Source organism: Homo sapiens, chromosome 3 (assembly GCF_000001405.40).
Source record: "Homo sapiens chromosome 3, GRCh38.p14 Primary Assembly".
NCBI classification, from domain to species: Eukaryota; Metazoa; Chordata; class Mammalia; order Primates; family Hominidae; genus Homo; species Homo sapiens.
The window spans coordinates 173,436,127-173,449,223 of NC_000003.12; the positions used below are offsets into that span (position 1 = coordinate 173,436,127).

Genomic DNA, 13,097 nt, shown 5'->3' on the forward strand with positions numbered 1-13,097 from the left:
CCCAGCACTTGTTGAGAAGAAAAGACAGAAATGATTATTTAGCCTTTGCTAAGAAATTAAGAAATCAGTTTTAAATGACCAGCATTAAAAGCAAAACAATTTTTCATTGTCACCATCCAAATATGCTAAGAAGGAAACATCTAGAATATATTTCCCAATATTAAAATTATTTCAGAGTAGTTATAAACAAACGGAAGACTGCTCCACCTCACACAATTTTGTTTATTCTGGTTAGTGGCTCCCATTCTTTGGCAAATAATGTATGGCACACACATGAGTTCTGGAACATGTTTTAATAACTCTTAATTTCCTACCACTCATGACCCATCTGTCATGATTTGAGGACCTTACATTAGGGAAGTCAAATAGGGAAGACTGTGTGTTTGTGACCAAGAGCATTAATTTTAGGCGTGGTTTAACTATGTGTCCCATTAATTCCATATCTACAGGTTTTTATCTGTAACTCAACCCAGCCAGATCCATGTTCTCCTCTTCTTTGTCTTGTTGTATGCCTTGAGAAGCTAACCTTGACTTCTATAAGTTACATCCACCCAGGCCCCCTTGATAGTTGGCTTCTTTTAAAAATCCAACAAATGCAAGACAATGGTAGGAGAACAGAGTGTAAGAGAGAGAGTTTGGGTTAAAACCCCATCCCCGCCATTCTTTCCTGCTCTAAGCCATGATTTCTAGCAGTTACTACATCTTTTTATCACTATGACCCAGGTTGGGTGGCCTTTTTCTATGCCTCCAGCTCTAACTGTACTCCAGTAACACTATTTTTCTCTTGCCCTTAGGCCAGTCATAACCTCTTTCTATTGTCATTCCCTTGGTGCTGCAATGTTCCTTTTTATTTTTCTTCACCCTGTCCAGATCTAAAGTCATCCTTATTAAAACTTCTTGAAGTAGATTCTGATTCCTGCATGACTGACTCAGACATTAGCAATAAGAAGCACTACATAAAACATTTGACTGTCAAGATTCCATTTTTGGATGTAGAAATAAGATGAGAAACCTGAGGAAAATTCCCAAGTCGTGATCTGTTTAGAAAGTACCTATACTTGGAATAATTTGACTGTTGCTTCCTCCTGCTCTTTATCCCCTGGTTTCTTAATTATCACAGCTAGATGTTCAGCTGTTGGTATTGTCTGTCACTGCCAATACCACATGTGTCTATTGTGGCCATAACTACTGCTTTCTGAGAGGACTTGGTCATCTACTGTAAAGACCTGATTACTCACTGTGACCAGAAGCCCTTTAAGATTGAATGAAGGAAGATGAGGCTTTTTCAGCTACATTATTAAAAGACAGTTGCAGCTGCAATAAAACATGCATTGGAATTTATTCAGCACTCCTGTGTGCAGCCCCTTGCTCCTCCTGCTTTTGAACGTTGATGGATATGACATTGTGTCTAATCTCAGTTGTATTCTATGGTACTTGTCTTGGAGCTGGTTCTCTGACTTGACTCTTCATTTAGCTTAGTGGACTTGATTTCCTCTCATTTGACTACCAACTTTTGATTTTCTTTAAATCTTGCCTCCAGACTACAAACATGCCAAGTATCGTGCATCGTGTGTTGTTTCTTTCATTGCCGTTCCTGCCACCATCACTCTTGGCTTTGCCTCTGCTGCTGCCATTACTTTCACCACCCCCACCCACCAACACACACACACACAGATATGCACACACACACACGTGCTGTATTGTGTTACAGACAAAGGTCTGCTATCTTTGCCTTCCTGATCCTGCCTTCCCTACTATCAGTCACCCTTTAACCACTGCCACCATCCCCTCTACCATCAAACTAGCAATTTACTGGTCTTTTTCTTTCATTTCAGCCCTTAGACTGAGTTTCCAAGTATCCAAGTCCCCAATGATTATAAAATTTGTTACTTTGGATTTTTTTTTAACATTGCAGATTTATTATCAAGGGAAGTGAGTCCTGAAGGATTCATTCATTTGGGGTTTATAGCAGATAGACATGAATATATTTCTCTCTTAAAAAAACAGAAATAAGCCTTTGATGGTTTGGTTATTTTGACATAACTTTCACTTTAATGGTGGTTTTTTCCCCCTTTGGACTGTATTTCCAAATCAAAACCCTTTTAATTTGATGATGGAGAAAATCTTATATCCTAGATGCATAAATGTTTTGTGTTGTAAAGTTTCTATATCAGAAACCCAATTTCCTGGTTAAGATAGGAATATAGTTTTAAAAAGGTGAAAAAAAATGAGCCTTATACATATCGTCTTTCCTATTAAAAGTATACAAGGAAAAAAATGGCAGAAATGAAGGAAATAACTAAGTTAAAGAGACATGCCAACTTGATCCAGAATTTCTTCCCTGGATCCTGGGCTCACAGATCCAATATGCAGTCTTTTTTAAACAGTATGCAATATAGTGCTCTTATTTTTAAAAATAATATGATTCTAATATTGATACCTGTTATAATTATGAATCACTGATAAAAAGTTTTAATTTTTCACTTTTATTTTCAAAGTTTAGAGCTGAAATTATTAAGAAAATATAGAAAAACTGCGGAAGATTTAGGGATCATTAATAGTCTCTCACACGTTTCAAAATGGGATTCTAAAGAAAGATTAAAGGAATTAGAAATATTCAGTAGACAGAAAAGATAAAGATACAGTTGCCTTCAGGGAGTTAATGGGTACTGGATGTTCCTTTTTCTTCCTTGAATGTAAGAAGAGGGAACAGTGTTATATGTTAGCAAGAAAAGTAAAAACCATAGTTATCGTGTGGACATTTTCAGGATTATCTCTTCTGAAGTTCCTTAAAGATAGACTTATCTGGGAAATATTTCAGTATTTTCCAAATTCAATTCAGTAGAGACACAATTTATCAGAGATACTCACTTTCTAAGATTTCCTTGGTCAAAACAGCTTGACAAATATCTCATATTAAATTCCTCTCTTGGATATTAGCAATCTGGATTAGCATATTTAAGAAAAATTTCTGGAAAGAAAAGAGCTGTTGAAGTCTGTTTAATGCTTAGGCAACAAAGTTTGTTTGCACAAGGGAAGAATTTTTTCCCCCATAGCACATATCACATTCTTTAGTTTCCTCTTAACACCTGTTCAAGAAGCACTGGTTTAAAGCCTGGAGAATGAATTTCTAAACCTGTTGAGGCTCATTGTTGAGTTTTAGTATTATATTAACAAATGGTTATAAACTTGTGAAATTTAATCCAATGGATGAATGGGAGCCAAATAAGAAATATGCGGGAAACTATATAGAGGAATTATTTTGAGGTTGAGTAAATGCGTTATGCTCCTATTCCCATAAAATGTGTCCCAAGGTGTAGAACACAAGGAAAAATGTGCTCATCTCACATCTTTGAAGAAGCTGAAGTTTATTTCTTATTGTTAAAAGGACTGCTCATTCACCTGCAAAAAAAAAAAAAAAGTACAGGAACACCTTGGATATATTGTAGGTTTTGTTCCACATCACTGCAATAAAGCAAATATTGCAGTAAAATGAATCACACAATTTTTTTTGTTTCTCTAGTGCATATAAAAGTTATGTTTACACTATATTGTAGTCAATTAAGCATGCAATACCACTGAATCTAAAAAAAAAGCAAAATACGTATCTTAATTTAAAAATACTTAAAGCTAAAATGCTAATGGTTATTTGAGCCTTCAGTGAGTCTTAATCTTTTTATTGCTGGAGGGTCTTGCCTTGATGTTTATGGCTACTGACTGATCAGAGTGGTGGTTGCTAAAAATTGGGGTGACTCTGGGAACTTTTTCAAATAAGACAGCAATGAAGTTTGCTGCATCAGTTGATTCTTCCTTTTAGGAAAGATTTCTTTGTATCATGCAAGTCAGTTTGGTAGGATTTTACCCACAGTAGAATTTCTTTCAAAATTAGAGTCAATTCTCTCTCTTAGTTGCTTTATCAAGTAAGTTTATGTGATGTACTAAATCCTTTGTTATCATTTCAACAATGTTTAGAGCATCTTTACCAGGAGTAGATTTCATGTCTTTGACATCCACAAGATGCAACTCCTCATCCATTCAAGTTTGTTCATGACATTGCAGCAATTCATTCATATCTTTAGACTCTACTTTTAATTCTAGTTTTTTTGCTATTTTTTTTAACCAAATCTGCAGTTACTTCCTCCACTGAAGACTTAAACCACTCAAAGTCATCCATGAGGGTTGGAATGAACTTATTTTTGCTAATGTTGATATTTTGATCTCCTCCTGTGAATCACAAATGTTCTCAGTGGCACCTAGGATGGTAAATCTTTGGAAGAAGGTTTTCCATTTACTTTGCCCAGATCCATTAGAGAAATCACTATCTATGGCAGTGGTAGCCTTACAGTGTATTTCTTAAATAATAAGACTTGAAAGTTGAAATTCCCTCTTAATCTATGGGGTACAGAATGAATGTTGTGTGAGCAGGCATGAAAACGACATTAATCTTGTACATCTACATCAGAGCTCTTGAGTGACTAGGTGCGTTGTCAATGAGCAGTAATATTTTGAAAAGATAGGTCTGAACTGTAGGCTTAATATATTCAGTAATCCATGCTGTAAAGAGATGTGCTGTCATCCAGGCTTTATTATTCTATTTATAGAGCACAGGCAGAGTAGATTTAGCATAATTCGTAAGGATCTTAGGACTTTCACAATGATAAATGACCAGTGGTTTCAATATAAAGTCTCTAGCTGCATTAGCCCCTAACAAAAGAGCCAGTCTTTCTTTTGAAGCCTGCAAGCCAGACATTGACTTCTCTCTAGCTATGAAAGTCTTAGATGGTATCTTCTTCTAATAGAAGGCTGTTTCACTGACATTGAAAATTTGTTGCTTTCTATAGCCACCTTCCTGAATGATCTTCCGGATAAATGGTGCAGCTTCTACACCAGGACTTTCTGCTTCACCTTGCACTTTTACGTTATAGGAATGTCTTCTTTCCTTCAACCTCATGAACCAGTCTCTGCTAGCTTCCAGCTTTCCTTCTGTAGTCTCCTAACCTCTCTCAGCCTTCACAGAATTGAAGAGTTAGGGCCTTGCTGTGGGTTAGGCTTTAGCTTAGTGGAATTTTGTAGGTGGTTTGATCTTTTATCCAGACTACTAAAACTTTCTTCATATCAGCAATAACGCGTTGTTTTGCTTTCTTAACATTTTTGTGTTCAGTGGAGTCACACTTTTAATTTTCTTCACGATCTTTTCCTTTGCATTTACAACTTAGCTAACCATTTGAAACAAGAGCCCTAGCTTTTGGCCTATTTTGGTTTTAGGCATCCCTTCCTCACCAAACTTAAGTATTTCTAGTTTTGATTGAAGGTGAGATATATGTGACTCTCCTTTCACTTGAACAGTGAGGGACCATTGTAGGATTATTAATTGGCCTAGTTTCAGTATTGTTGTGTCTCTGGTAATAGGGAGGCAGGAGGAGAGGCAGAGAGATAGGGAAATGATGGTTAGTGGAGCAGTCAGAACACACATATTTGTCAGTTAAGTCTGCCATCTTTGTGGATGGGGTTTCCAACACCCGGGCACAATCACAATGGAAACATCAAAGATCACTGATCACAGATCAACGTAACAGATGTCATAATAATGAAAAAGTTGAAATACATGAGAAGTGCCACACAAAGTGAGCACATGCTGTTGGGAAAATGACACCAATCAATTTGGCTAATGCAGAGTTGCCATAAACTTCCAATTTGTGAAAAATACATTCTCTGCAAAGCCCAGTAAAAAGAAGTGTGATCAAACAAGGTATGCCTGTATTTGAAGTATACATTAAATCTGTTAAACCACCAAGTCATGATGTAAATTCCTGGTTGCCTTCTGTATTAATCTAATTTTAATATTTTGAAATGAACCTGAAAAATCTGTATTGTAGGAAGTCAAGGTGTGTATTAGCCCCTTTAACTTCAAAACCATGACATTTGCAGTCAAATTATGTAAAAATATGTATAAACAGCAATTAAATTTGGAGTAATGAATGTGTCTTTGCAAGTTAGAAAAATGCCAATAACATTTGGGATCTTAAATCTGTTACGCAGTTTTCAATGTGCAGTGATTTGTGTTGAGTGCATTGCCTGTTTATTTTTGATTTTAAAATCATTAATTATTGAAAATCTTAATGCTATAAAAAACTAAGTGGGGTTTTTCGTGTATAAAGAGTATTGAGTTATTTCCATTGTATTTAAAATGTATCAAATGTTTATTTTTCATGTAAAATTACTGATCATATTTTCTATCAAACAAGTTTTTCATTATACAGTTAAATTGGTTTCATCTCTCCTTTTAATAAAGCAGATCACATTGTTCCTGAATCCAGCCAAAAATAATGTGTAACATTCAACGTGTGTAATATTCTCCAAGGAAAAAGAGATTCCTGCAGGCTAATTTTTGTAACTTCACTTTGTTAGCATATAAATGACTGGATAGGGATGTTTGTATTGAAAGGTTTAAATTTTACACTAGTTTTCTTGTGTACTTTCAGTAATTATTGAGTCTTAATATTAGGCTAGAAACAACTCTAAAATTATTTTCAAGATTATATTAAAATATTAACTTTTGAAAGTTATTTGATTAATTCTATTAATCAGAGGTCTGCAGGATTTGATAATAAATACCATGGCAGACAATATAGCCTAGAGTTTCTGAATTTAAGGATGTTAATAACTTGACTGCTGTTAGTTGTAGTAATAAATCTTTCAAAATTTATACTTCTGCCTGATTAATTATAGTATGACTTGGTCTAACAAGTAAGATACACACATATTACATATATCTTTTAAGTAACCCAGCAGCCTATAGTACTAAGTAAATATAATATAATACTATACAACCAGTTTACGGAAATGACAGAGTGGTTTGAAGCCAGTTGGGGTCTATAATAGAACACTTGTGTCAGCAGTCTTTCCAGGGGAGGCAAATGGCTGTATATTTTAAAGTGGAAACACAAGATTTAAAATTAAATGCCAGTCAGGTGTTGTACCTAGTGGCTATAATCCCTACTACTAGGAAGACTGAGGTGGGAAGATCACTTGATCGCAGGAATTGGAGGCTGCAGTAACCTATGATCATGTCACTGCACTCTAGCCTGGGTGATGGAGCAAGAAGACCCTGTCTCCAAAAAAAAAGAAGTTTTTTAAAAAAATTGCCCAATTTTTATATTTTTACTTTAATAGTATATATATTATATATATACTATATATATATATACACTATGACTATATATATAGTCATAAAAGGATAAATTGAAGCTCTTTGTGATTAAATTATTAATTTTTTGAAACTGTACTCCCAATACCATTTTATATGACTTTATTGATTATGATTTCTGTTGCTTTGATAATTTGAAAATTATTTTCTATTTTTGAAAGCATTTAATGAGAATGGAAAAAGAAGTAAATAAACATATATATTGTATGTGCAGTATCAATAAGGATGCACACAGCACATTTTAAAAATTTACTTTCAGACTTAGACTTTTGGTATTTAATTTTCAATTTTCAACAATGTTTACTTTTCTGGCAATTTATGAATTTTTGTTGCTTTAGGAAGAAAAACGTGTAAACATTACGCTTAAGGTGCAATTATTTTCTAGAGAACAATTTCATTGTGTTTTCTTAGTAGAAAGACTATAGTGCTAGTTAAACCCATAACCGTTAATATTGAAAATTGTAATGCTGTAAAGAACTTGAAGGAATCATATTTTTCAAGGTAATACAATTTTGAAATAGATAATTTACACCTACTCATGCTTATTCATTGACAGCATATCATTGTATAAATGGCTCACTTAACTGATCAGTGAACATGCATTCTTGGATAATAACCAACATAAGATTGTATCGATACTTCGGTATTAATTTGCTCGTCATTTTTGCTCCAGTCTATTTTTTGTGATATCTATGTATAATTTTAACTTGAAAAGATCTGCAAAAAATATAGTTTGAAAAATATCACATATACTGGGCATCTTTCTAAAAAGGCAATATCACTGGAATACAATACTAAGATTATAGGAATTTAGAATTACAGTCTTGTTTATAAAATCCTGACTTAAACATCGTTTTAAAAAGTTTAATGGCTGCTCTTCTAAGGTTGTCATAAAATCACTTTCATATTTGATATTATGTTTTATGCCTAGATAAAACGATAGATGTCTGTGGCTCCATATCTGTATAACAGAAGGACAGCAGGTAATGCTGCTCATCAAAATGAATAGGCTGTAATATCTATAAAATGGAAGATAAAAGTTAGACTTCTGCTTGAATGAAATGAGCACGGGTGTGATTTCATGCAGGTCTGGTATACATTTATTTCACCTTCTGCCATCTTTTCTCCCAGTCTGGATAAGGCAACTTCTGCATAGTTGATTTTTAAGCTAAAAATTACAACTATTAATTTAAATACAAATGTGTGGATTTTGGTCTTTCAAAAAAATATATATATTCACTATTTTACTTTATTTAATTTGGTTCCTTGAAGAAAATGGACATTTCTCAAAAAAGCTAAAACTTGAAAATGCCCTTACTATATTAGTTTACTTTTTATATTTCCTGGCCTCAACGGCTGGATGGTCACAACTATATATTGCAGTGTCTATCTATCTATCTATATATACACATATATACATATGTGTGTGTATATACATGTGTATATATGTGTGTATATATAAATATAAATGTGGATAGATACTGCAGTATATAGTTGTGTGTGTTTGTATATATATACACACATACTCACACACATATATTACATTTTGTAGCCCTTTAACATTACAGAAAATATTTTCTTTGGTGTTTTATTCTGCTGCTTCAGGAATGCAATATGCAAGGACTTGTATTAAAAAAAAAACAAGGACTTGGCCGGGCGCGGTCGCGGCTCACGCCTGTAATCCCAGCACTTTGGGAGGCCGAGGCGGGCGGATCACGAGGTCAGGAGATCGAGACCATCCCGGCTAAAACGGTGAAACCCCGTCTCTACTAAAAATACAAAAAATTAGCCGGGCGTAGTGGCGGGCGCCTGTAGTCCCAGCTACTTGGGAGGCTGAGGCAGGAGAATGGCGTGAACCCGGGAGGCGGAGCTTGCAGTGAGCCGAGATCCCGCCACTGCACTCCAGCCTGGGCGACAGAGCGAGACTCCGTCTCAAAAAAAAAAAAAAAAAAAAAAAAAAAACAAGGACTTGTGTGAAGATCTATTATGGTTTCCTGTCAGTTGGTGTCTTTTGTTTTATTTGGTATTCTAGTAAAATGACCTGTTCCTTAGGTATGGTTAATTAAAGCTTAAGTTAATTAAAGATTAATATCCAGGCTCAAAACTCTTTATACATGTTTCAATTTACAGAAGCAAAACCTGAGACTTGGAGAGGTTAGATAATTTGCCAATGATCTCATAGCTAGTACATGGCTGAACTGACTCCAATTCCTGAACATTTTGCTCTTCCCATACAGTGAGCTCAATTGGTACCGTCTGCACTAATAGAGTAATGGTTTTAGAGCCTGCTGAGATATGTTGGACAGTTTTCTTCCACATTAAATGGCTTCAGATTGCTAAAACTTTGGAGCCATTGTGTTTTCTACATATCAGCAGCCTTATTCTTCATTCTTGTTGAACCTAGCAGGGTTTTCTTTGTGCTTGCACCAGGGAAGCCAAGCATTATTTTAGAACATCAGAAGACAGGGAAGTTTGGGAACACTTTAAGTTCACACTGACCAACCTCAGATAAGCCCTTAGCAGAACCTGGCAATATGATTGCTCTTCTTTAGTTTCCTGATTTGTGCAATGAGGTTTTCAAAACTTCTCCACCTCTAACAGACATTTGATCTATCCACCCTTGCCCTTACTGTGAGCAGATTACCCCTGTTTTTGCTTTACAGAGAAAATAAAAGCTATCAGATGCAAATTCCATTAATTTTCCTTCTTTTTTCTTTTCTTTTTTTCTTTTTTTTTTTACTATTATTATACTTTAAGTTTTAGGGTACATGTGCACAACGTGCAGGTTTGTTACATATGTATACATGTGCCATGTTGGTGTGCTGCACCCATCAACTTGTCATTTAGCATTAGGTATATCTCCTAATGCTATCCCTCCCCCCTACCCCCACCCCACAACAGTCCCGGTGTGTGATGTTCCCCTTCCTGTGTCCATGTGTTCTCATTGTTCAATTCCCACCTATGAGTGAGAACATGCGGTGTTTGGTTTTTTTGTCCTTGCAATAGTTTGCTGAGAATGATGGTTTCCAGCTTCATCCATGTCCCTACAAAGGACATGAACTCATCATTTTTTATGGCTGCGTAGTATTCCATGGTGTATATGTGCCACATTTTCTTAATCCAGTCTATCATTGTTGGGCATTTGGGTTGGTTCTAAGTCTTTGCTATTGTGAATAGTGCCGCAATAAACATACGTGTGCATGTGTCTTTATAGCAGCATGATTTACAATCCTTTGGGTATATACCCAGTTATGGGATGACTGGGTCAAATGGTATTTCTAGTTCCAGATCCCTGAGGAATTGGCACACCAACTTCCACAATGGTTGAACTAGTTTACAGTCCCACCAACAGTAAAAGTGTTACTATTTGTCCACATCCTCTCCAGCACCTGTTGTTTCCTGACTTCGTAATGATTGCCATTCTAACTGGTGTGAGATGGGATCTCATTGTGGTTTTGATTTGCATTTCTCTGATGGCCAGCGAGGATGAACATTTTTTCATGTGTTTTTTGGCTGCATAAATGTCTTCTTTTGCGAAGTGTCTGTTCACATCCTTTGCCCACTTTTTGATGGGGTTGTTTGTTTTTTTCTTGTAAATTTGTTTGAGTTCATTGTAGATTCTGGATATTAGCCCTTTGTCAGATGAGTAGGTTGCAAAAATTTTCTCCCATTCTGTAGGTTGCCTGTTCACTCTGATGGTGGTTTCTTTTGCTGTGCAGAAGCTCTTTAGTTGAATTAGAACCCATTTGTCAATTTTGACTTTTGTTGCCATTGCTTTTGGTGTTTTAGTCATGAAGTCCTTGCCCATGCCTATGTCCTGAATGGTAATGTCTAGGTTTTCTTCTAGGATTTTTATGGTTTTAGGTCTAACATTTAAGTCTTTAATGCATCTTGAATTAATTTTTGTATAAGGTGTAAGGAAGGGATCCAGTTTCAGCTTTCTATGTATGGCTAGCCAGTTTTCCCAGCACCATTTATTAAATAGGGAATCCTTTCCCCATTGCTTGTTTTTCTCAGGTTTGTCAAAGATCAGGTAGTTGTAGATACATGGCATTATTTCTGAGGGCTCTGTTCTGTTTCATTGATCTATATCTCTGTTTTGGTACCAGTACCAGGCTGTTTTGGTTACTGTAGCCTTGTAGTATAGTTTGAAGTCAGGTAACGTGATGCCTCCAGCTTTGTTCTTTTGGCTTAGGATTGACTTGGCAATGCAGGCTCTTTTTTGGTCCCATATGAACTTTAGTTTTTTCCAATTCTGTGAAGAAAGTCATTGGTAGCTTGATGGGGATGGCATTGAATCTATAAATTACCTTGGGCAGTATGGCCATTTTCATGATATTGATTCTTCCTACCCATGAGCATGGAATGTTCTTTCATTTGTTTGTATCCTCTTTTATTTTATTGAGCAGTGGTTTGTAGTTCTCCTTGAAGAGATCCTTCACATCCCTTGTAAGTTGGATTCCTAGGTATTTTATTCTCTTTGAAGCAGTTGTGAATGGGAGTTCATTCATGATTTGGCTCTCTGTTTGTCTGTTATTGGTGTGTATAAGAATGCTTGTGATTTTTGCACATTGATTTTATATCCTGAGACTTTGCTGAAGTTGCTTATCAGCTAAGGAGATTTTGGGCTGAGACGATGGGGTTTTCCAGATATACAATCATGTCATCTGCAAACAGGGACAATTTTACTTCCTCTTGTCCTAATTGAATGCCCTTTATTTCCTTCTCCTGCCTGATTGCCCTGGCCAGAACTTCCAACACTATGTTGAATAGGAGTGGTGAGAGAGGGCATCCCTGTCTTGTGCCAGTTTTCAAAGGGAATGCTTCCAGTTTTTGTCCATTCAGTATGATATTGGCTGTGGGTTTGTCATAGATAGCTCTTATTATTTTGAGATACCTCCCATCAATACCTAATTTATTGAGAATTTTTAGCTTGAAGAGTTGTTGAATTTTGTCAAAGGCCTTTTCTGCATCTATTGAGATAATCATGTGATTTTTGTCTTTGGTTCTGTTTATATGCTGGATTACGTTTATTGATTTTCATATGTTGAACCAGCCTTGCATCCGAGGGATGAAGCCCACTTGATCATGGTGGATAAGCTTTTTGATGTGTTGCTGTATTTGGTTTGCCAGTATTTTATTGAGGATTTTTGCATCTATGTTCATCAAGGATATTGGTCTAAAATTCTCTTTTTTGGTTGTGTCTCTGCCAGGCTTTGGTATCAGGATGATGCTGGCCTCATAAAATGGGTTAGGGAGGATTCCCTCTTTTTCTATTGACTGGAATAGTTTCAGAAGGAATGGTACCAGCTCCTCTTTGTACCTCTGGTAGAATTTGGCTGTGAATCCATCTGGTCCTGGGCTTTTTTTGGTTGGTAAGCTATTAATTATTGCCTCAATTTCAGAGCCTGTTATTGGTCTATTCAGAGATTCAACTTCTTCCTGGTTTAGTCTTGGGAGGGTGTATGTGTCGAGGAATTTATCCATTTCTTCTAGATTTTCTAGTTTATTTGTGTATAGGTGTTTATAGTATTCTCTGATGGTAGTTTGTATTTCTGTGGGATCAGTGGTGACATCCCCTTTTTCATTTTTTATTGCATCTATTTGATTCTTCTCTCTTTTCTTCTTTATTAGTCTTGCCAGCGGTCTATCAATTTTGTTGATCTTTTCAAAAAACCGGCTCCTGGATTCATTGATTTTTTGAAGGGTTTTTTGTGTCTCCATTTCCTTCAGTTCTGCTCTGATCTTAGTTATTTCTTGCCTTCTGCTAGCTTTTGAATGTGTTTGCTCTTGCTTCTCTAATTCTTTTAATTGTGATGTTAGGGTGTCAATTTTAGATCTTTCCTGCTTTCTCTTGTGGGCATTTAGTGCTATAAATTTCCCTCTACAC

The 13,097-nt window shown here is 35.9% G+C and overlaps 1 protein-coding gene across 27 annotated transcripts in view; it reads left to right on the forward strand.

The window, feature by feature from the left end:
• Window positions 1-13,097, forward strand: part of NLGN1 (neuroligin 1) — an 898,421-nt gene that overhangs the window by 40,175 nt on the left and 845,149 nt on the right. The window lies entirely within an intron of this gene.